Raw genomic sequence first — 25,411 nt, forward strand, 5'->3', positions numbered from 1 at the left:
TTTTATTCAAGCACAACCATCTGCCACCTTGGACAGGCCCAGGGTTTTAAGAGTTTATATTGTGAAAGGAAATTATGATTTTAAAACCACAGGATGGAATGTTATTTCATATGGATGCTGTCTTTGTTTGGGCTGCTATAACAAAATACTGCAGACTAAGAGGCTGATAAAAAACAAAATTATTTCTTACTGCCTTGGAGGGTGGGAAGTCCAAGATCAAGGCAGCAGAAGATTCAGCATCTGACGAGGACCTGCTCTCCAGTTCACAGATGGCACATCTTAGCTGTGTCCTCATGTGGTAGCAGGAGAAGTGCAGCTCTCTGGAGTCTCTTTTATAAGGGCTCTACTCCTATCCTTAGGGGCTCCACCCTCATGACCTAATCACTCCTCAAAGTTCCTAACTCTTAGTGCTATTACATTGGTGATTAGGTTTCAAAATATGAATTTTAAGGGACACACATTCAGACCATAGCATTTAAGGAAACTGTTGGTTTCATGCAAAAAATAATTTATATAATTGAATATGTTTTACAGAGTAATTTATGAAACAATTCGCACTATAAATATCTACAAAATAGGTTTATGTTCTATGGAATTCAGTATTATTTTTGTCAAGAATTCTAAACTATGTGGGCAGGGGAGACAAGCATATGTAATTGTTTAGTACCAGCATAATTAGTTAAATAGTTTGGTATATATTGAATATATATGTATTGGAATGGTTCTTTTAAAATATATGCACTTCTTTTGGCTTTGAAAATGATGGCAAATGGTATTAAATTTAGTCTTCATATGTAAATATTTTCTCATTATCAAAAAAGTTTATTTTAGGCCAGACGTGGTTGCTCACACCTGTAATCCCAGCACTTTGGGAGGCTGAGGCAGGTGGATCACTTAAGGTCAGGAATTCGAGACCAGCTTGGCCAACATGGTGAAACCCTGTTTCTCTAAAAATACAAAAAAAATTAGCCAGGCATCATGGCATACGTCTGTTATTCTAGCTACTTGGGAGGCTGAGGCAGGAGAATGGCTTGAACCTGGGAAGTAGAGGTTGCAGTGAGCTGAGATCACACCACTGCATTCCAGCCTGGGTGACAGAGTGAGACTCTGCCTCAAAAAAAAAAAAAAAGATTTGTTTTATACTTTTATCTAAATGGGGTTTACTTTCAGTAACAGCCCTTGAGGAAACAATTTTAGATTAGCTTGATGATTACAGCTTTTTAGTCAATATTTTTCCCTTTGTTGAAAAGATGACAAGGGGGTTGGATATTATGGCAATATCTCTCATTCCTAGACTAACCTTTATACAAGTACTTTACAATTTACAAAATATTTTTATGTACATTCTTCCCTTCACTTCATTTTTTTCCTGTGGTTATTCATTTTTGGGATACTCATTTTCTTTGCTTTTTTTTTTTCACTCAAAGTAAAAGCCAAGATACTCATTTTATAGGAGAGTTTTCTACACCAATTGAAAGCCACAGTAAACAAGATTCTGATTTTTATTTTAAGGATAGATTATTTTTACAGACAGCCTAATTTTTTCTGTGAATTTAGAGCAGAATTAATTTCTTCTAATGATATTTATCCACATTTTAATGTAGAATAAGCATTAAATATTAACAAGCTCTATTTTTATTCTTTTTCTAGAGGACCACTGGACAGTGTAACGTATCTGGACAAAATTAAAAAATTCATAGCATCCATAGAAAAAGAGAAAGATTCTTTAGGCAACTTGAAAATCAAATGGGAGAATTTATCAAACCACGTGACTGACATGGATAAGAAATTGTTGGAAAGCCAGATTAAGCAACTTGAACATGGTTGGGAACAAGTGGAACAGCAGATTCAAAAGAAGTATTCTCAGCAGGTAGTGGAATATGATGAATTTACAACCCTCATGAATAAGGTACAGGACACTGAGATTTCTCTGCAACAGCAGCAGCAACATCTACAGTTAAGGCTGAAGTCTCCAGAAGAACGGGCAGGGAACCAAAGCATGATTGCCTTGACCACTGACCTCCAGGCTACCAAGCATGGATTTTCTGTTTTAAAGGGGCAAGCTGAACTTCAGATGAAGAGGATTTGGGGAGAAAAAGAAAAGAAGAATTTGGAGGATGGAATAAATAACTTGAAGAAACAATGGGAAACATTGGAGCCATTACACTTAGAAGCAGAAAATCAGATTAAGAAGTGTGACATAAGGAACAAGATGAAAGAGACTATCTTATGGGCCAAGAATTTGTTGGGTGAACTTAATCCCTCCATTCCCCTTCTCCCAGATGACATTCTTTCACAGATCAGAAAGTGCAAAGTGACACATGATGGCATTCTAGCTAGGCAGCAGTCTGTGGAATCGTTGGCTGAAGAGGTCAAAGATAAGGTTCCTAGCCTTACAACCTATGAGGGCAGTGATTTAAATAATACCCTAGAGGACTTACGGAATCAATACCAAATGCTGGTTTTAAAATCAACTCAAAGATCACAGCAATTAGAATTTAAGTTGGAAGAAAGAAGCAATTTTTTTGCTATAATAAGGAAGTTTCAACTTATGGTTCAAGAAAGTGAAACACTGATAATTCCCAGGGTGGAGACAGCTGCCACGGAAGCTGAACTAAAACATCACCATGTTACTTTGGAGGCATCTCAGAAGGAATTGCAAGAAATTGACAGTGGAATCTCAACACATCTTCAGGAGCTAACAAACATCTATGAGGAGCTGAATGTGTTTGAAAGATTATTTCTGGAAGATCAGTTGAAAAATCTTAAGATTAGGACCAACAGAATACAAAGATTCATTCAGAATACATGTAATGAAGTGGAACACAAGATAAAGTTTTGCAGACAATTCCATGAAAAAACATCAGCGCTTCAGGAGGAGGCTGACAGTATACAGCGCAATGAACTATTACTTAATCAAGAAGTAAATAAAGGTGTTAAAGAGGAGATCTATAATCTTAAAGACAGACTCACCGCTATTAAGTGTTGCATCTTACAGGTATTGAAACTTAAAAAAGTGTTTGACTATATTGGACTAAACTGGGATTTTTCACAACTTGACCAATTACAAACCCAAGTATTTGAAAAAGAAAAGGAACTTGAAGAAAAAATTAAGCAGTTGGACACATTTGAGGAAGAACATGGCAAATATCAGGCATTATTAAGTAAAATGAGAGCTATTGATTTGCAAATTAAGAAAATGACTGAAGTAGTACTAAAAGCTCCTGATAGCTCTCCGGAAAGCAGACGGCTCAATGCCCAAATTTTAAGTCAGAGAATTGAGAAAGCCAAGTGTTTATGTGATGAGATAATAAAGAAATTAAATGAAAATAAGACCTTTGATGACTCATTCAAGGAGAAAGAAATACTACAAATAAAGCTGAATGCAGAAGAAAATGATAAGTTATACAAAGTTCTCCAAAACATGGTATTAGAACTCTCACCAAAAGAATTGGATGAAAAGAATTGTCAGGACAAACTAGAAACTTCCTTACATGTTTTAAATCAGATAAAATCTCAATTACAGCAGCCATTACTTATAAATTTGGAAATTAAACATATTCAAAATGAAAAGGACAATTGTGAAGCATTTCAGGAGCAAGTTTGGGCAGAAATGTGTAGTATTAAAGCTGTGACTGCTATTGAGAAACAAAGAGAAGAAAACTCTTCTGAAGCGAGTGATGTGGAGACAAAACTACGTGAGTTTGAAGATCTTCAGATGCAGCTTAACACAAGCATTGATTTGCGCACAGTAAGTTTTAAAAATTATGCAGTTAGTGGCTGGGTGCGGGGGCTCACGCCTGTAATCCCAGCATTTTGGGAGGCCAAGGCTGGCGGATCACTTGAGGCCAAGTAGAGACCAGCCTGGCCAACATGGCAAAACTGCATGTATACTAAAAATACAAAAAAAAAATTAGCTGGGTATGGTGGCACATGGTTGTAATCCCAGCTACTCAGGAGGCTGAGGTACAAGAATCACTTGAACCAGGGTGGCGCAAGTTGTAATGAGTCAACATCCCGGCACTGCTCTCCAGCCTGGGTGACCAAGTGAGACTCTGTCTCAAAAAAATAAATAAGTAAAATAAAATAAAATTGGGCAGTTAGTGCATCTATTTTTATTTTGTGATTTTCTGTTTTGCTAATGTCTGTAATTCCAAAGAAGCTATAGGTTCTACGTAGAAATTCTCTACAGAAAGATAGCCATTTTCAAAAATTACAGTGAACTGGTTTGTAATCGTGACTCATACTGCATCTACATGCAGTGCCTTCTAGTTTAGAAAAGGACAAATCTGACTCTTATTTCTGTTTTCCTCGTAGTCTCTGTTGAGCTCAGAACATTTTTAAAAATTTGTTTTCTGTTTTGTTTTTAGAGGTAGTAAGATATAATGGAAGAATTATGGTGTAGAGGGAAGAACACCAAATAATAACTAACATTTATGTAGAACTTACAGTGTTGGAGACACTGTGCTAAAAATTTCATGTTGAATTTTTATAGCAACTCTGTGAGATGAGTGCTATTATTAGCCCCGTTTAAAAATAAGGAAATTGAAGTTTAGAAACATGAAGATTTTTCTCAGAGTCCTGAGAACAGTAACAGAACCAGAGCAGGGAGCATCACATGCTCATGGTCCATGGGCCAAATCCTTCCCGCAGTGCCTGTTTTTTATAAATAAAGTTTTATTGGAATATAGCCATACCCATTTGTTTTTGTATTGACTGTATCTGTTTTCATGCTATAGCAGCAGAGTTGAGTAAGTTGTGATTATTTCCTCACCTCTGTTGGAAAGTGACGCCAACACACTCCCTTCCCTTCCTTTTGGTAGAGTGGATATCTTAGGCATCATTGAAATTCACGCTGTGCTGAATGTAATGCCATACATAGTGTTTTCAGATTGATCACATTAAATTTTTAGAAGTGGAAGTTAACTCCCTTTTCTAATTCAAAGAGTTATTATGAGATACTATATCTGGAATATTTTGATAGGTGTAAATGCTATGGCAATGTAAAGTATTATGAACCTATATTCCTTAAATAGTTTTGTAATAAATGAGTAATTTGAGTATTTCTCCACTTGAATTTTAATACAGTTTCAGGAAACAATGTGCATAAATCCCAAAAATAATAGGATTAGAACTGAACTGGAAGGGACCTTTATTTATTTCAACTATTTGTTATTTCAATGAGATGACTCAAGTCTGGAGACATTCATTCAATGATGTACCTAAACTAAAGTTAGTGCAGAGAAATTAGTTTAAAAACATAAAAGGTCTAGAGATTTTGTTTTCTTTTCATTTGTTCACAAATACTGATTAAGGTTATATACATTAAATGTAATCCATTGTTTTATTTAATTTGTAGTCTAGTACAAGAGTTCCAAAGCAGGAAGATACATTAATAGACATTATTCTTGAGATGTTATTTTGAATTTAGATTATTTTTCTTATTAAATCTGAAAATAACTTTTTTTTTTTTTTTTTTTGAGATGGACTCTCACTCTGTCACCCAGGCTGGAGTGCAGTGGCGCGATCTCGGCTCACTGCAACCTCCGCCTCCCGGGTTCACACGATTCTTCTGCCTCAGCCTCCTGAGTAGCTGGGACTACAGGCGCGCGCCACCACACCCAACTAATTTTTGTATTTTTAGTAGAGATGGGGTTTCACCATACTGGCCAGGCTGGTCTTGAACTCTGGACCTCGTGATCCACCCACCTCGGCCTCCCAAAGTGCTGGGATTACAGTTGTGAGCCACCACGCCGGGCCTGGAAACAACTTTTTTAATACAATGTTATTTGCTTAAAAATAATAGTGTAATATTGTCAAACTGTAAAATGAGAATGCTAACTCTTATAAGACTCAGAGACATGTATACATATGTAACAAACCTGCACATTGTGCACATGTACCCTAAAACTTAAAGTATAATAATAATAAAAAAAGACTCAGAGACATATTATCTATGTACCACGAAAACTTAAGAATGACAGGAATTCCAAAAGTTTGACAATTTTGTCACAGCATTTAATCTCCTATTCACTAGAATGTCTTGAATGATGCTTATGAAAATCTAACACGCTATAAAGAAGCAGTCACCAGGGCAGTGGAGAGCATCACTTCCCTCGAAGCCATCATTATACCCTACAGAGTAGATGTTGGTAATCCAGAAGAATCTTTAGAGATGCCTCTTCGAAAACAAGAGGAATTGGAATCCACAGTAGCACACATCCAGGACCTCACTGAGAAACTGGGAATGATATCCAGCCCCGAAGCCAAACTACAACTTCAGTATACTTTACAGGAACTAGTTTCTAAGAACTCAGCAATGAAGGAAGCTTTCAAAGCACAGGAAACTGAGGCAGAAAGGTAGGTCCTCTTCCAAAGGTAATCTTTAAGAACATAAAATATTGTTTCAAGATATAATTAAACTATATTTTAATAGTTTTAAGAACATAAAATATAGGTTTTTTTCTCTGTCATTAACACCTATGCATTAGAGATAATTTGGAAAATATGGTTAAGTAGAAAAAAATTACAATGTAAAGAAAACTCTGGTAAATATTGTATTTCTTCTTTTTTTTTTTTCCTATTTAATATTGGGTACACACAACAGATTGTTTATAAAAGTATATGCATGGTATAAGTAATAATGATAAAACTAATATCTTTGTACCCAAAAGGACATCGAGTTCTCTTGTGTGCTCCTCCTCTCTCTTCTCAGAAATAACCATTCTCCCAAATTTTGTTTACCATTTTCCTGACTTTTGTTGTACTTTTTTTTTTTTTTGAGACAAAGTTTCGCTTTTGTTGCCCAGGCTGGAGTGCAGTGGCACGATCTTGGCTCACTGCAACCTCCGCCTCCCGAGTTCAAGTAATTCTCCTGCCTCAGCCTCCCGAGTAGCTGGGATTACAGGCATATGCCACCACGCCTGGCTAATTTTTTGTATTTTTAGTAGAGACAGGATTTCTCCATGTTGGTCAGGCTGGTCTTGAACTCCCTGTTGTACTTTTACTATGTGTTTGTGTGTCCTGTTTTCACAATTTCAAACTAATACCTAGTGTGTGCATTCTTCTGTTATTTCTTTTTTTTAATTTTTAATTTTTGTGAGTTTATAGGTATATATATTTATGACATATATGGAATATTTTGATACGGGTAATCAGTGTAATAATTGCATCAGGGTAGATGAGATATTCATTTCAAGCATTTATCTTTTGTGTTACAAACAATCCAACTGTACTCTTAGTTATTTTTAAATGTACAGTTAAATTATTATTGAACGTAGTCACTCTGTGGTGCTATCAATACTAGATCTTATTCATTCTTTCTATTATTTTGTACCCATTTACCATCTCCCTTCCACCTCCCCCACTACTCTTCCCAGTCTCTGGTAACCATCCTACTACTCTCTATGTTCATGAATTCAATTGTTTTGATTATTAGATCCCACCAATAAGTGGGAATATGTGATGTTTGTCTTTCTGTGCCTGGCTTATTTCACTTAACATAATGACCTCCAGTTCCATTTATGTTGTTGCAAATGACAGGATTTCATTTTTTTTTAATGGCTAAATAATACTCCTTTGTGTGTATATACCACATTTTCTTCATCCACTCATCTGTTGATGGACACTTGGCTTGCTTCCAAATCTTGACTATTGTGAATAATACTTCAATAAACATGGGAGTGCAGCTATCTCTTCAATATACTGATTTCTTTTGGGTATATGCACAGCAGTGGGATTCCGGGATCATATGGTAGCTCTATTTTTAGTTTTTTTGAGGACCCTCCAAACAGTTCTCCATAGTGGTTGTACTAATTTGCATTACCACCAACAGCATATGAAGATGCTGTTTTCTCCACATCCTTGCCAGCATTTATTATTGCCTGTCTTTTGGCTAAAAGCCATTTTAACTGGATGAGATGATGTCTCATTGTAGTTTTGATTTGCATTTCTCTGATGGTCAGTGATGCTGAACACCTCTTCATATCTGTTTGCCATTTGTATGTCTTCTTTTGAGAAATGTCTATTCAGATCTTTTGCCCATTTTTAATTGGATTATTAATTTTTTTCCTATAGAGTTATTTGAGCTCCCTATACATTCTGGTTATTAATCCCTTGTCAGATGGGTAGCTTGCAAATATTTTCTCTCATTCTGTGGGTTGTCTCTTCACTTTGTTGATTATTTCCTTTGCTGTGCAAAAGCTTTTTAACTTGATGCTATCCCATTTGTAAATTTTTACTTTGGTTGTCTGTGCCTATGGGGTATTATTACCAAAGAAATCTTTGCCCAGTCTGGTGTCCTAGAGAGTTTTCCCCAATGTTTTCTTTTAGTAGTTTCATAGGTCTTAGATTTAAATCTTTAATCCATTTTGATTTGAGTTTTGTATATGATGAGAGATAGGGGGTCTAGTTTCATTTTTCTGGATGAAGATATAGATAGATAATCCAGTTTTCCCGGAACCGTTTATTGGTATCTTTCTATAGGTTTGGGAAGTTCTCTGTTATGATCTCTTTGAGTAAACTCTTTGAGTAAACTTTCGACCCATTATCTCTCCCTCTACCTCCTCTTTAAGGCCAATAACTCTTTTTTTCTTTTTTGAGACAGAATCTCACTCTGTCACCCAAGCTGGAGTGCAGTGGCACAGTCTTGCTCACTGCAACCTCCCAGGTTCAAGCAATTCTCTTGCCTCAGCCTCCCAGGTAACTGAGATTACAGGCACAAGCCACCACACTGGCTAATATTTTGTATTTTTTAGTAGAGACAGGGTTTCCCCATGTCGGCCAGGCTGGTCTCGAATTCCTGACCTCAAGTAATCCGCCCTCCTCTGCCACCCAAAGTGTTGGGATTACAAGTGTGAGCCACCACATCCAGCCTAATAACTCTTAGATTTACCTTTTTGAGGCTATTTTCTAGATTTTGTAGGCATGCTTTATTTTTTTCTATTCTTTTTTCTTTTATCTCCTCTGACTGTGTATTTTCAAATTGCTTGTCTTCAAGCTTAGTAATTCTTTCTTCTGCTTGATCAATTCTGCTGGTAAGAGACTCTGATGCATTCCTCAGTATGTCCATTGCAGTTTTCAACCCCAGCATTTCTACTTGATTCTTTCTAATTATTTCAATCACGTTGTTAAACGTATCTGATAGGATTTTTAATTCCTTCTCTGTTATCTTGAATTTCTTTGATTTTCCTCAAAACAGCTATTTTGAATTCTCTGTCTGAAAGGTCACATATTTCTCTCTCTGAAATTGGTTCCTGGTGACTTATTTAGTTTGTTTGGTGAAGTCATGTTTTCATGGATGGTCTTGATGCTTGTGGATGTTTGTCAGTGTCTGGGCATTGAAGTGTCAGGTATTTATTTAAGTCACAATCTGGGATTGCTTGTACCTGTCCTTCTTGGGCAGGCTTTCCAGGTATTCTAAGAGACTTGAGTGTTGCGATCTAAGTTTTTGGTCGCGGTAGTCATATCTGCTTACAGGATACCCCAAGCCTAATAATGTTGTGGTTTTTGCAGAGTCATAGAGCTACCACCTTGGTGGTCTTGTATAAGATCTGGAGTAATTCTCTGGATTAAGAGGCAGAGACTCTTGTTGTTTTCCCTCACTTTCTCCCAAACAAACAGAATCTCTGTGTTGAGCTGCCTAGAGCTGGGGTAGGGGTGACACAAGCACCCTTGTGGCAACCACTACAGAGAGTGTACTGAATCAGACCTGAAGTCAGCACAGCATCAGCACTGGGCCTTGCCCAAGGCCCTCTGTAAACAGTATCTGGCTATTGCCTACGTTTGCTCAAGGCCCTTGGGCTCTACAATCAACAGGAGATGAAGCCAGCCAGGCTTGTGTCCTTCCCTTAAGGGTGGCGAGTTGCCCCGCACCTAGGTGAGTTCAGATATGCTGTCTGGGAGCCATTGCCTAGAGTTGGAAACCTTAGGAATCTACCTGGTGCTGTGTGCTACTGTGGCTGAGCTGGCACCCAAACCACAAGACAGAGTCCTTCACATCTTGTCTCCCCTTTCCCCATGTCCACCACCACTACAGGCCCACAGAAAGTACTGCCAGGGTACTACTCATGTTCACTAAAGGCTCAAGGGGTCTTCAGTCGGCTTGTGGTGAATGCTGCCAGGCCTGAGACTCACCATTCAGGACAGTGGGCTCGCTCCTCTGGCCCAGGGTGGGTCCAGAGATACTGTACAAGAGCTAATACCTAGACGCCAAGAGCTCACTTAGTACTCTTCCCCACTGTGGCTTAGCTGGTACCTAAGCTCAAGACAGTCTCCTTTACTCTTTCCTCTGCTTTCTGAAGCAGAAATGGCCTCTCCTGGTAGCCACCACAGCTGTGAATGTGCTGAGTCCCACCTGAAGCCAGCATGTCTCAGTCTCACCCAAGGCCCACAGTGTGTACTACCTGGTTGCCACTGTTGATTATTCAGGGCCCTAGGGCTCTTTAGTCAGCAGGCAATGAATCCTGCCAGGGCTGGGTCCTTCCCTTCGAGGAAGTGGGTTCCCTTCTGGCCCAGGGTGTGTCTGGAAATGTCACCTAGGAGCTAGGGCCTGGAATGGGGGCCTCATGACTCTGCCCAGTACCCAGTCCTACTTAGCTGGTATCCAAGTTGCAAGGCAAAGTCCTCTTTACTCTTCCCTCCCCTCTCCTCAAGTAGAAAGAAGGGGTCTCTTTTGGAACTGTGAGCTGTGGTTCATGAGGTTGGAGGAGGGGTAATTCCAAGGACTCCCTTAGCTGCCTTGGCTGGTGTCTCACTTGGTCACATGCCCCAACAAGTCCACTGGCTCTGATTGTAGCACAGCACTAGGACTTACCTAGGAGTTGCAGTCTCTGTGGTCTCGACAACCTTTCAAGTTTATTTAGAACCCCAGAGTACTTTAGCCCAAGGTGGCGAGGCTTGCTGCAATTCTAGTTTCAACCACTGGGATGGGCAGTTGCCCTCTGGCTAGGGCTAGTCTAAATGCTTCATGGGTGCTGGCTGAGTTTTGTCCTATGTTGGCAGCACTGCATTCCAATGCAAAGCTCCCCAGTTGCTGCGCTTTCCCTCCCCCACGTGCACGGATTCTTTCTCCCTGCCATGCTGCTGCTGCTGGGGGATGGGTGAGGAGTGGCATCAGCAATTCAAGACTGCCTTTTTTATCCTCTTCCATGCCTCTTTCAGAGATATGAACTAAAAACTAGTTACTGTGATTGCTCTCGTAATTTTTGGTTTTTATGAAGTTGCTTTTGTATGGAGATAGGTGTCAAATTCGGTGTTCCTGTGGGGAGGATGATCAGTAGAGGCTTCTATTCAGCCATCTTGCTCCTCCTGCATACCTCACTTCATTTTTTCAAACCCATCATTATGACTCTGAGGTTTATTCATGTTCTTAGTAAAATTTATTTACTTAGCTATTGATGGACATTTGGATTGCTCCCAGTTTTTGCATTCAGAAACAGTGCTACTTGGGAAAATTTTTAAGTGTAATAACTTCCCTTGGGTAAATATCTAGGAGTGTGATCATTCAGAACAAAAGGTTATGTACATCTTACATTTTTAATGCCAAATGATTTTGCCAATTTCCACTCAAACCAGCAGCATATAAGTATTCCAATTGTCCCATATCCTTGCCAACATTTGATATTGTGAGACTCAATTTTTGCCAATCTGATGAGTAAGAAGAGGTATTTCATCGTGGTTTTAATTTGCACTTCTGTTACTGCTAATTAGTTTGATCTCTTTTTTTGAATGCTTATTGGTCATTCATGTTTTCTCTTCTGTAAAATGCTTATTTAAGCCTTAACCCAATTTTATTGGTGGTTTTTTCTTACTGATTTCTAGGAATTCTATATTTTAGAGAGTGGTCCTTTATAGTTATATGTGTTACAAATATTCTTGCAGAGGGAGTTTTCTATTAGACACCCATCCTGGGATTGGCTCCCAGCTTTATGGTCTGTCCCCCACCTTTCAGTAGGAATCAAAGAAAATTGAAACTCAAGTGCCCTCAAGGCAAAAAACTGGTCCTACAACTTTGCCTATTTCTGTATATTTCCATTTTACAGTTTGACTCCCTAATTCCTTGTCAATTTATTCATGCGTTTTAAGAGTTGTTTTTTAAGAATAATTTGATATAGAGTTTTTAGTTACATTCAATGGGGGATTTAGGCTGTGTCTGTTTTTGTATGCATAATTTTAGTGTTTTAAAATATATATGCTATATATAAAATATCAAATATCCAGCTTTATTTTAAAATTTTATAACAGTTCTTTTCTTGATTGTAACAAATACTTTCTAAAAGTAATGTAATTACTCTATAATATTGTATACGATGAATTGTTTTAATTTCTTAATCATACCTTTGTTAGATAAGGGTATTCCAATGTGTGATGTTTTAATTAATAGTCTAGTGAGTAAAGATGTTTTACTGTGCAAAAGATTTAGGATAAGCTCTATATGTTTAGGATACAGTTCTTAAGGTAAATTGCAGAAGCTGCATTAATGGGTCAAAGATGGGAATAGTTTTAAGACTAAGTGGTTTTCCACAAGAATTGTACCAATTTACAGCTCATCAGTGTGTTTGAGAATGCAGTTTTCATTTTACTGAAGTGAACTTTAAAAAAAAAAAATCTTCATTTTAGAGGACGGCCCTTGCTTCCTTTTCAAGTTTGCATTTAAACCCATATGCAGGTCCCTTTGGGAATAAAAACTTCTTGGAAAACATTTTAAAATGCATTGCCTAGCAAAAACGAAAGTTGTCATATCTTTTCTTAAAAATTAAGTGTGGAATATTTATTCTGGGAAATTTTGAATTTATTGTGTTAAATAAAATTTAATACCACTTTTTTTCTAACTGTGACTCACTAGGTATCTTGAGAATTACAAATGCTATAGAAAAATGGAAGAGGATATTTACACTAACCTCAGCAAAATGGAGACAGTTCTTGGACAGTCCATGTCCTCGTTGCCACTGTCTTACAGAGAAGCTTTAGAGCGCTTGGAACAGAGCAAGGTAATAGTATTGGCAATTAGCCAGTAAGTCTGTGTGCAAAAAATTGCAGAACAAACTGGCAGAGGCAGCAGAGAATGTGGTCCTGTTAAGACGCGTAGAAATCTTCACAGTGAGTTAAATATCCATGAATATTCCTCAAATCGAAAGCCAGAGAGTAATGTTTTATATATATTTGAGACACAGTCTTGCCCAGGCTGGAGTGCAGTCATGCAGTCTTGGCTCACTGCAGCTTCTACCTCCCGGCTTCAAGTGATTTGATTCTCCTGCCTCGGCCTCCTGAGTAGCTGGGATTACAGTGCCCGCCACCATGCCCAGCTGATTTTTGTATTTTTAGTAGAGACGGGGTTTCACAATGTTGACCAGGCTGCTCTTGAACTCCTGACTTCAAGCCATCCTCCAGCCTCGGCCTTTCAAAGTGCTGGGATTATAGGCGCGAGCCACTGCGCCTGGCCTTATGTAATATATTGAAGCTTAAAAAGCCAGAAGGAAGGAAATGAAGCAGTGGTACTGAGAGATTTAATTAATCAGGTTCACAGACAGTCATCCCCCAATAGCATCCTGTCCTCACTGATGGCTTTTCTAAAGCATCACCTCTCATGTGACTTTGAGGGATACTGCTGGATCAGTGACAGAGCCTTGTTGTCCACTGATCGCTTACTGCAACTGTCATAAGCTCTGAATTCTGGTTACTTCTTAGACTGTTACAAAGCAATTTGAGCTTTTGCTTATTTTTATCTGTTAGAATCTGTGGTATTATGTTATTAGGATTTGGATGAGGACTTTCTAAATCATCTGTAGTTAACATTCCCCAAAAACAAAAGCGAACCAAGAAAAACCTTTCAATATTGTGTTGGTGGTTGATATAGGAAGTATTGTGCAAAGGAACTACTTAGTAAAATGTGAGACTTAAAAATAACAAAATGTACAGTAGTCCCCCTTTATCCACAGGGGATATGTTCCAAGACACCCAGTGGATGCTTGAGACTGTGAATAACACTGAACTCTATGTATATAATTTTTTTCCTGTACACGCCTATGATAAAGTTTAATTTATAAATTAAAGTGCAGTCAGAGGTCAACAACAATAACAGAGAAATTATAACAATATGCTGTAATAAAAGTTGGGTGAATGTGGTCTCTTTCTCTCAAAATATGTCATTGTACTGTTTTCACCCTTCTTGTAATGACATGAGACTATACAATGCCTGGGTGATGAAATGAAGTGAGGTGATGAAATGAAGTGAGGTAATGAAATGAAGTGATGAAATGAAATGATATAGCCATGGTGAGGTAGCGTTGGGCTACTATTCATCTGGAGCACAAGCATTTGATACCACAACAGTTGATCTGATCACCAAGAAGGCTACCAAATGACGCGTAGGTGGGGAACATATACAGCATGATGTGCTGGACAAAGGGAAGATTCGTATCCCAGGTGGGATGGAGAGAGATGGCTTGAGATTTCATCACACTAGTCAGAATAGCACTTATATATTTATATACAAATAAAACATACATTTTATACAAATAAATCTTACACATTTTTTCCTTCTGGAATTTTTTAGTATTTTTGGACCGTTGTTAATCACAAGTAACTGAAACCTTGAAAGGAGAAACCCAGATAATGAGGGCTGTTGTACTTTTAGATTTTTTTTTTTTTTTTTTTTTTTTTAAATAAGACAGGGTCTTGTTCTGTCACCCAGGCTGGAGTACAATGGTGCAATCATGGCTTATCACAGCCTTGAGCTCCTGGCCTCAAGGGATCCTCCCATCCCAGCCCGCTGAGTAGCTGGGGCTACAGGCATACACCACCATGCCTGGTTAATTTTTTAATTTTTTGTAGAGACAGGGTCTTGCTATGTTGCCTTGCTATGTCTTGAATTCCTAGCCTCAAGCAATCCTCCTGCCTCAGTCTCCCAAAGTGCTGCATGAGCCACTGTGCCCAGCCACTTATAGACTTTTTTTTTTTTTTTTTTATACGGAGTCTCACTCTGTTGCCCAGGCTGGAGTGCAGTGAGTGGCACAATTTCAGCTCACTGCAACCCTGCAACCTGTGCCTCCCAGGTTCAGTCAATTCTCCTGCTTCAGCCTCCTGAGTAGCTGGGACTACAGGCGCATGCCACCACGCCCAGCTAAATTTTGTGTTTTTAATAGAGATAGGGTTTCAACATGTTGGCCAGGATGGTCTCGATCTCCTGATCTCATGATCCACCCACCTTGGCCTCCCAAAGTGCTGGGATCACAGGCATGAGCCACTGCGTCTGGCAAATATTTGCTTTTGAAAGTATGTTCTTTCTTGGAAAAAAATGGTTTATGGGTCATTATTTGTCCCTGTAATCCCAAATTCATGCAGAATACAATAATACATAGATAATTCTCATCTGGTCTATATTGACTTCTAAAAGGATAAGAGGTGGATCATGCAATACTTATGGAAGATTGAAATAATTAATTGTTCAGGATTTAAAAGAGTTAGTAAGTTTCAGGAAAACCATAATAGTATGTCCCTCTTATTTTTTTTCTTTTCTTTCTTAAGGCCTTGGTGTCAAATCTTATATCAACCAAAGAAGAGTTAATGAAACTACGACAGATCCTTAGACTCTTGAGACTCAGGTGCACAGAAAATGATGGCATATGTTTGCTCAAGATTGTGTCGGCTCTGTGGGAGAAATGGCTGAGTTTGCTGGAAGCTGCTAAAGAGTGGGAGATGTGGTGCGAAGAACTGAAGCAGGAATGGAAATTTGTCAGTGAAGAAGTGAGTGCTTCATTTTCAACAAACCATGTAGTTTCTAACATGTTATTTAAATTGTTTTATTACTTTCACCTTGTTTTTCTATAAAACGAGTCCTTAGCCTATACCATTTGTGCACATCACTTATACATGATACATAAATGTTTATAGATGTCAGGCCTTATTAAGATAACCTGCAAGAACTTATTCAGATTATTTTATAGTAGTGCCTTTATTGATAGCAGATAATTCTTATTAATAAGTGACTACTAGCTGGTTTGAGTTTTACAATCTTTATTGTGAAAATAACCCCTCTCAGAAATAACTGTCTCTACATTATACTAAAGGTTTAGAATTAGGTAATATGTGTAATCACCAAATAATTTTGAAATTATCTATAATTTTCAACTATGGAAATTAACTGTAATTGTTAAATGTGGACCTAAAAATATATGAGGTTATGATGTTCTTTTTGAAAATAGTCTCAAAACCTGCATGATATATATCAATCACAAATGTTAATTTAACCTTGGTTCAGGATTTAGGTATGAACTATATTTAGAAAGAAAATTAATTTAGAAAGTTAAAGATAGCCGGGTGCAGTGGTTCACCTATGTAATCCCAGCACTTTGGGAGGCTGAGACAGGAGAATCGCTTGAGCCCAGGAGTTCTAGAACAGACCAGGCAATGGAGTGAACCCCATCTCTACAAAAAATAAAAAAAAATCTGGGCATGGTGGCACATGCCTGTAGTCCCAGCTTCTTGGGAGGCTGAGGTGGGAGGATCTCTTGATGAGAGGTCAAGACTGCAGTGAGCCATGATCATGCCACTGTATTCTAGCATTCCAGCCTGGGCAACAGAGTGAGACACTGTCTCAAAAACAAACAAACAAAAACACAACGTAAAATTATCTTAGGATGAAATGCTTAGCACTATTGTATTATCTTGCTTATAACTATTATCCTTAAAAATGAATTTTATGTCAGTGGTCCTGGTGAGGCCTGACTAGTGAATAGTCTCTTGAAATGTTAAAATAAACTTTGTAAATTACACTTTTGGTTGGGGCTGCTGGCACCAGTGCTTGCCTGTCCATAGTGGTACCATTTATTGAGTTACTATGCTGTGCTGAGAAGGCAGTTCACACCTGTTCTCACTGAATCTTTGCATTGTCCCTGGGAAGTAAATTTTATCACCATTTTATCGATGGGGAAACTGAAGCACTGATAGATTGAGTAGTGGCACAAGGTCCCCAGGTAGAGATTGATTAAGCTGTAAACCCCTGTAGGCTGGGGCTGGGGCTGTCCTGCTCACTGCTGTAACCTTGGAACCTGGCTAGGGCCCTGCGCTTAGTGGGCACTTAGTAAATATTTGTTGAGGGACATCTCTTATTCAAATTCAGGTCTGGGCTAATTCTAAGATTTTGCTCCTTTTATTTTATCACATTATTGCTATATACCCATTTACAATTATGTGTTATTAATTCAGACTCCATTCATATAGAACTTTCTAATTATTCACATAAGCATTTGACAAAATCTGCTAACAAAATATTTTTCAAAGAGTAGCACAAGCAAAAAAAAAATGCTTCCCTGTAATAACAATAATAAAAACAACTACTAAATTGAGCAATTATTGTGTGACAGGATAGTTCAGAGCACTATTCAAGAATTCTGTGAGGATATTTTTATTATCCTTACTTTGTAGATGAGGAAAGTGAGACACAGTGAGACTGAGTAACTTGCTCAAATTCACAAGGGGTAGAAGAGGATTCAAACTTAGACGCTGGTGCTTAGTCATTAATCTGTCAACTTACATGATATTTACATACATCAAATTGATATAAGATTTTAGTGTAGCTTTTATCCATTCAATAAAAAGTATATCATCTAACAGCCCATACATGTAAGCTTCTGTTAGCATGATTGGTGCTTTTATATATGACAAAGTGAATTTCTGCTTTAAACCTGTCATCTATAGTAACATAATAATCCAGTGTTTATGAAATAAAGTTTATATTAGCAGACTTTTTTAAAAATTAAATGCCTGTTTGTAAGTTTACAAATTAAAAACTAAATTTAAATTTTGATAGAACTTGTGTCCCCCTAAAATTTTACCTCCCTGTTTTCTTAAACAGAATCTCTTTACTATAACTATTCACTTGTGTTATTCAGAATCATCATTTTATGCTTCAATGATCATAATGTGCTAGAAGAACGTCACATTGTCAAAGATAATTGGAGATGTGAGGCCGGCTTCTTCCACTTGCACCAACAGTCATTTCTTTGTTGGGTCTCTTTTCTGCTGGTTCTGGGTTTTTTGGTCTCCTTCATTGGATTTGCTTATGATGCAACTATGGGTCCTTCTCCCTCTCTAGACCGGACTTTACAATTGACCGTGAACCTGAAAGTTTTATAACCAATTTGATTAGGATCCCATGTCTAAGGAAAATCATCAAGGTATTGCAAAGCCTCTTCTAGGTGGAAAAGTGAATGCACAGGCTTTTTGGCAACTATTTTACTGATGCTAGGGCTGTCTTCACACTTTTTAGTGTAAAATATGTTGTTCTGACAAGTGCACACGGTCACATGATCACCAGCAAAATCAAGGTTTAAGACAATTCTGTCACCCTAGAAGTTTCCCTCGTTCCTCTTTGTGGTCAGTGCCTTCCATAACCTCCAGCCCCTGGAACCATTAATCTGTTTCTGTTCTCATAGTATTTCCATTTCCAGAATGTCATATCCATGGACTCCTTACAGTTTGTGGCCTTTTGAGTTTACTTTTTTTCACTAAGCATAATGCACTTGAAATTCTTGCTGCTGCTTGTATTAGTAGTTCATTTCTCTTTATTCCTGAGTAGTATTGCTTTGGGTGGGTGAATTCAGTTTGTTTATTCATTCCCAAGTTGAAGAATTGCCTGGCTTTGGGGTAAAATTATTGTCCTAATAAAAATTGTGGCCAGGAGCAGTGGCTCACGCCTGTAATCCCAGCACTTTGGGTGGCCTAGACAGGTGGATCACGAGGTCAGGAGTTCAAGATCAGCCTGGCCAAGATGGTGAAACCCTGTCTCTACTAAAAATACAAAAAAAATAGCCAGGCATGGTGGCAGGTGCCTGTAATCCCAGCTGCTCGGGAGGCTGAGGCAGAGGATTGCTTGAACCTAGGGCGTGGGAGGTTACAGTGAGCCGAGATCATGCCACTGCACTCCAGCCTGGGTGACAGAGAGAGACTCCGTCTCAAAAAAAAAAAAAAAAAAAAAAAGAGATTGTTCTCCCTCTTGTATTCCCCCTTCTCAATCACTTACCAACTTCACAGTGGACACCAGAGCTTGGGACTGAGGCTTGCAAATGGTAGTTTATTTTGGAAAGTGATCCCAGGGAACAGGAGTGGTAGATGAGGGGAGCCGAAACAGGAAAGGTCTGAGCCTTTATTCTTTTTACTCTTACTGGATTGTGCTTGCTACAGCTGCCCATTTCTGGTTATTATCAAGTCAAATCTGCCAGTTTCTGGTGTGTAAGCACCAAGAGGTGCCCCATTAAATCCTGGATTACAGACACAGTTTTTTCAACCCTGATGCACATTGGAAACCCTAGATGTACAATTCCCCCATCTATGTAACAATTTCTTTATTTGCATGCTAGTTTCCAGCAGGGGGACAGAAAATGATACAATGGAAACCCTTATCTCATTTCCTGGTGTAAGTGTAGCTGTCTGGCAAAGAACTAGGACTTCTAATTCAACTGAATTTAGGTTTGAGGTGATGAGAAGCACCCATTGCGCACACCTAGGTCTCTTGGACAGTGGCCAGTCTACATCTGCATCCGTGTATTCTAGTTATTGGGTACCCAACTGGGTCATACAGCCCAAACAGCAGGGCAGCTTATACCACAGCCCAACCCTGCTGCGGTGCTTTTTCCCCAGGCCCCTCTCGACATTGGCAGCATTCTGATAAATGCATCTGAGCAGTAATCCCAAGGATAGCATATACTGCCTCCTAGACCCCAAAAGGTCCGTTCAGTGCTGTGTCTCTTTTTTAGTGGTAGAGTTGTAAGATTGAACAACTTGACCTTTATCTTAGAGGAGAAGTCCTGGCATGCCCCAGGCCACTAGACCCCTGATACTGGGGCTCCTGAATTTTCACAGGCTTTGTTTCTCAGCCTCTGGCATGTCTGACTGGACATTCAGGTCCTCACCATTTCAGTTAGCATGATATCATAAACATAGATGACTGGAGTGATATCCTGTAATGTCATGACTGCAAGATCCATGAATGAGTTTGAACGTGGAGCAGGAGAGTTAACCATCACTGAGGCAGGATTTGATAAATGAGTACTGCAGCCGAGGGGTGGGCCAGGGGATTCGAGGGGAGGCGTAAGAATGACCTGATTCAGGGGCCTTTGAGACTTTTTTCTACATCTTAGTTGAGTTCAGGGCTGGTGGAACTCCCAGTTTCTAGATATGTGATGTAATAGGTTATGTATTTCTGAGTTCTGTGTACACCACTATTGATAAATACTTCACTGGTTTGGTAATTCTGGCTGCTTTACCTTTGTTGTGTGTCAGGGTAATGAGAACCTGCTGGCCTTACTTTTTTAGCATACAGGGATTGGAAGTGAAAGAAAAGAGACCAGCAGAAAAATTTTCCATATCCAATAGTTGCCCAACCTCTTATACTTAGTGAAAGCAGTTTGGTGGAGCTCATGTGCTTATCTCAGGAGAAATGTTGCTTTATCCATCTGAAATCTGAAGGAGAAATACATTATTTATGAAGATATTCAACAGCATTTCCTTCAGCCCACCACAGCAGTACTCCATTTCAGTCACACATCTACATGAGCAATAGCTGGGCATTATGGGATTCTGATAGTAGAGGATTAATATTCCCAGCTATAGGAAAACAGACTAGGATATGGCACTAGGAACCCTTTGAAGAGAGAGCATACAAAAATTATGTCTACTTCAGGTCCTGAAATGTAATTGTATATTTTACTTATTTTAGTTCTTTTTGTTTTTTGAATTAGATTGAACGAGAGGCAATTATTTTAGATAATCTTCAGGAAGAACTCCCTGAAATTTCCAAAACAAAAGAGGCAGCCACCACAGAGGAACTCTCTGAGCTGCTAGACTGTTTATGCCAATATGGAGAGAACGTGGAGAAGCAACAGCTGTTACTGACTCTACTTCTTCAGCGCATCAGAAGTATCCAGAATGTTCCTGAAAGCTCAGGGGCTGTGGAAACTGTTCCAGCATTTCAAGAAATTACTTCTATGAAAGAACGATGCAACAAGTAAGATTTATGAAAAACTATTAAGGACGTGTGCTTGACAATTATGGCTCAAAATTTAGAAAATCTAAAAGTATAGAATAATGGCAAATGATACAATAGAATTGAGGTGAGACAACACTGATAGGTATAAAAAGGGATGGAACAGATTAGTAACTATAATTAAGCACACATTTTCCATCCTGGTATTAATGAGGGTGAATGTCCTTCCAATTTCCTTTTTTATCATTTGTGGGTTTTTTGTTTGTTTGTTTGTTTTTGCCCTTTTTCTAGTTTAGTAATGCATATTCATTATAGGAAATTCAGGCCGAGCGCGGTGGCTCACTCCTGTAATCCCAGCACTTTGGGAGGCTGAGGCGGGCAGATCACGAGGTCAGGAGATCAAGACCATCCTGGCTAACGTGGTGAAACCCCGTCTCTACTAAAAATACAAAAAATCAGCCGGGTGTGGTGGCAGGAGCTTGTAGTCCCAGCTACTCGGGAGGCTGAGGCAGGAGAATGGCGTGAACCCAGAAGGCAGAGCTTGCAGTGAGCCGAGATCGCGCCACTGCACTCCAGCCTGGGTGACAGAGTGAGACTCTGTCTCAAAAAAAAGGAAATTCAGAAAATGTGAAAATTACAAAAATTAATATAAAAATCTACCTTAATGTCACCACTCAGCAATAACCACTGCCAATCATTTTTTCTCCTTTTTTACTATGATTTTGTTTTTAAATAAATAGAGATCAAAATACTTGTACTGTTTTGTATTCTGCTGAGTAATTTACCAGCAAATCATGTTTGTCTTCCTATGCCATTAAATGTTCTTTTAAAATGTAACTAGCTGTGGCCGGGCATGGTGGCTCACGCCTGTAATCCCAGCACTTTGGGAGGCCAAGGTGGATGGATCACCTGAGGTCAGGAGTTCGAGACTGGCCTGGTCAACATGGTAAAACCCCGTCTCTACTAAAAATACAAAAAATTAGCCGGGCATGGTGGCGCACGCCTATAATCCCAGCTACTCAGGAGGCTGAGGGAAGAGAATCACTTGAACCCAAGAGGTAGAGGTTGCAGTGAGCTGAGATCATGCCATTGCACTCCAGCCTGAAACGTCCATCTCAAAAAATAAAAATAAAAAATGTAACTAGCTGTATAATATTCTACCATGAAGATATGCCATAATGTGTTAAACCAAGCCCCTAATAAGGAATCTTTAAATTACTTTTTTTTAATTTTCATAACAACACTGCAGTGAATATTCTTATGCCAGAATCTATATTTTCATCTGTGACTAATTCATTGAGAAAGATAGTGAGAAGTAGAATCACTGGGTCAAAGAATATAGTAGTTTTATGGCTAGAGGTGCTCTGAAGAAAAAGCAAACTTGTTTTTTCTCTCTACCCTTACACACCATGCAACAAAGCACTTCTGACACCATGTTGGTTATGGGGGTTCCCCACACATCAGGCAGTTCTCCAGCAGACACCAATTCATTTCTCACACTATCCACCCGGAGACAGCATCAGATCACACAGGCTGGGGGCTCAATCCATCCCACAAGAGGACCTCTACTTCAGATGCCAATCATCAGTAGTAGGTTGCTACCTATACTTCTCCTTTTTTTTTTTTTTGAGACAGAGTCTTGCTCTGTCGCCTAGGCTGGAGTACAATAGCATGATCTCGGCTCACTGCAAACTCGGCTTCCTGAGTTCAAGCGATTCTCCTGCCTCAGCCTCCTGAGTAGCTGGGATTACACGCATGTGCCACCACACCCGGCTAATTCTTTGTATTTTTAGTAGAGGAGGGGTTTCACCATGTTGCCCAGGGTGGTCTCGAACGCCTGACTTCAGGTCATCTGCCCGCCTCGGCCTCCCACAGTGCTGGGATTACAGGCGTGAGCCACTGCGCCCCGCTGGTACACTTCTGGCTGATAGGCTATAAATCAAGGGATCCTTTGATACCTTTCTTGGGTTCAATTAATTTGCTAGAGTGGCTCACAGAACTCAAGAAAACACTTTACTCATGTTTACCAGTTTATTAATAAAGGATATAATGAAGGATACAGATAAACAGCCAGATGGAAGAGGTGCCTAAGGCATGGTATAGGAAGGGGCCTGGGGCTTCCCTGCTCTCTCTAGGTGGTGGAACCCCCAGGCTTTCAGCAATCCAGAAGCTCTCTGAGCCCTGTCTTTTGGGTTTTTTTATGGAGACTTCATTATGTAGTCATGATTGATTATGTAATTGGCCATTGGCGATCAACTCAACCTTCAGCTTCTGTCCCCTCCCCCAGAGGTTGGGGGTGTGTGTTGGAGGTAGGGGTGGTACTGAAAGTTCCAACCTTTTAATCACATAGTTGGTTCCCCTGGCAACCAGCCCTCATCCTGAGGCTACTCAGGATCCCACCTAGAGTTGCCTTCTTAGAACTAAAGATGCTCCTATCACTCAGGAAATTACAAAGGGCTTAGGAGCTCTGTGTCAGGAACTGGTCAAAAATCAAGTATTAGAACAAAAGACTCTCCTAGCTAGCACTCCTATCTACAAGGGTATTAAGAGCTCTGTCTCAGGAACTACAGCAGAGATCAAGTATATATTTATTATATCACAATATCATAGATACTTACCAAATAACCCTCAGGAAAGATTTTACCCACTTCAGTGCCTCTTCTGATATTTGCTGCATCCATAGCAAAATGGGTCAGCTTAAGAGAAGAAGCCCAGTGGGATTGTCTGTCCCCAAGAGCCCACCTGTGATTCCATTCACACCTCTAAGTCATTTTCATGTGAGCTCAAGGATTACGTGGAGAAAAAGAGAGGACAGAAATGTCAGTTACAGTGTAAAGTGTGAAAAGAGAGTATTTGAGGCGAAAGATTTGGAGAGGTTTTTGATTAAGTGGTAGATTTTGTACCTGTTTTTATATGTGGTACATCCATTATTGAAAATTGTTACTTTTTTTCTTAGAGGAAATAACCATCCTTTAGTAGCTATTCAGGCATTTCATTAATTGTTGCAATAAAACTGTTTCATTTTATTCATAGAAGAGCAGGATAAAGAAACAATTATATTTTGACGTTCTCTTTTAGGCTTCTTCAGAAAGTTCAGAAAAATAAAGAATTGGTGCAGACTGAAATCCAAGAAAGACATTCCTTCACAAAAGAGATAATTGCTTTGAAGAATTTCTTTCAACAGACCACAACTTCATTCCAAAATATGGCATTCCAGGATCACCCAGAAAAGTCAGAACAATTTGAGGTAAGTGAGGAATGAATTAGTGAATGTGGCAGGTACAGGCCCACAGTCTTGTATCCAAAGTCCTTGGGGTAGAGATAACTCAGTGGCTGGGTTTGGGGGAGCGGTCTGGGGAGAGAGAGAGAGGCATAGGCAAAGGCCCTGTGGCATGGTATGGGCAGAACCAAGGGAGAAGATCAGTGTGGCTGGAGAGCAGAGAACAGAGTTGAAACAAGGCTGGAAGGTAGGCCAGTCTGGACCAAGCAGCCTTCTTTCAACTATGTTTCCAGTGTGTTTGGTGAACAAGGGCCTCAGACCACTCTTAAGTAGTATGTTACATTACTCCTTTAGTAGGACATGGCGCCTTGTCTCTGACAGGGTCTATGTACACCCTACAGGTCATCTGGAATCTCATTTCTTCAGAAGAATCTCCTCTTTCATTCCAGTCCAATAGTGACAGCCCAAAAGTATGTTTGGAAGTTTATTCAAAAGTCACGTGTTGGCCGGACATGGTGGCTCACACCTATAATCCCAGCACTTTGAGAGGTCCAGGCAGGCAGATCACTTGGGGTCAGGAGGTCAAGACCAGCCTGGCCAACATGGGGAAACTCCGTCTCTACTAAAAATACAAAAATTAGCCAGGCATGGTAGCGTGTGCCTATAATCCCAGCTACTGGGATGCTGAGGCAGGAGAATCACTTGGACCCAGTAGGTGGTGGTTGTAGTAAGCCGAGATCGTGCCGCTGCAATCCAGCCTGGCTCCATCTCAAAAAAAAAAAAGTCACATGCTGTCTAAACAGAACTTTTGGTTATTATATTGGAAAGTAAAGAAGCAGTCTTCATGGGGAAGCCTTCTAAGTGTACCTCTGAATGAAAGCCTGTACTCCTGGACTAGGTGTAGATAAAACGGGATGACACTTACTTATTAAACCCCATCTTTGAATGGCATTGTTCTCTAACTTTCTCTCTCTAGATTTGTCCTCTGCTGAGGATTAAGAAAAGGAAAACAATGACACATTACAGAGTCATTTAAAATTGTAATCATTCTTCAGTACAGTGACTCAATCCATGAACACAAATAATGCTACTGAACAGCTACTGTAAAAACAAAACAAACAACAAAAAAGCCACAGTCAAGTCAAGAAGTATTTTTCCACTTGATCTTTGGGAAACTTTCCCATACAAATGAGTTTCTCCTTTATAAT

At 39.4% G+C, this 25,411-nt stretch overlaps 1 protein-coding gene across 29 annotated transcripts in view, besides 2 other annotated features; it reads left to right on the forward strand.

The window, feature by feature from the left end:
• SYNE2 (spectrin repeat containing nuclear envelope protein 2) overlaps positions 1-25,411 on the forward strand; it is a 464,854-nt gene that overhangs the window by 288,311 nt on the left and 151,132 nt on the right. For all 29 annotated transcript variants that reach the window (XM_047431152.1, XM_011536576.3, XM_047431149.1 and 26 more), the window contains 6 exons: positions 1,651-3,751; positions 6,038-6,360; positions 12,845-12,989; positions 15,526-15,744; positions 20,739-21,004; positions 24,062-24,230. In XM_047431152.1, the coding sequence (XP_047287108.1) occupies positions 1,651-3,751; positions 6,038-6,360; positions 12,845-12,989; positions 15,526-15,744; positions 20,739-21,004; positions 24,062-24,230 (3,223 nt within the window). The remainder of the gene's footprint in view (positions 1-1,650; positions 3,752-6,037; positions 6,361-12,844; positions 12,990-15,525; positions 15,745-20,738; positions 21,005-24,061; positions 24,231-25,411) is intronic.
• Positions 10,365-10,960: an enhancer, noted in NCBI's record as "H3K27ac hESC enhancer chr14:64526989-64527584 (GRCh37/hg19 assembly coordinates)". NCBI's record gives its function as "activates a minimal SCP1, AML or CMV promoter by ChIP-STARR-seq in naive and primed H9 embryonic stem cells {active_cell/tissue: H9 hESC(naive and primed)}" and the evidence as "EXISTENCE:reporter gene assay evidence [ECO:0000049][PMID:30033119]".
• Positions 24,283-24,784: an enhancer, noted in NCBI's record as "H3K4me1 hESC enhancer chr14:64540907-64541408 (GRCh37/hg19 assembly coordinates)". NCBI's record gives its function as "activates a minimal SCP1, AML or CMV promoter by ChIP-STARR-seq in primed H9 embryonic stem cells {active_cell/tissue: H9 hESC(primed)}" and the evidence as "EXISTENCE:reporter gene assay evidence [ECO:0000049][PMID:30033119]".

Source organism: Homo sapiens, chromosome 14 (assembly GCF_000001405.40).
Source record: "Homo sapiens chromosome 14, GRCh38.p14 Primary Assembly".
NCBI classification, from domain to species: Eukaryota; Metazoa; Chordata; class Mammalia; order Primates; family Hominidae; genus Homo; species Homo sapiens.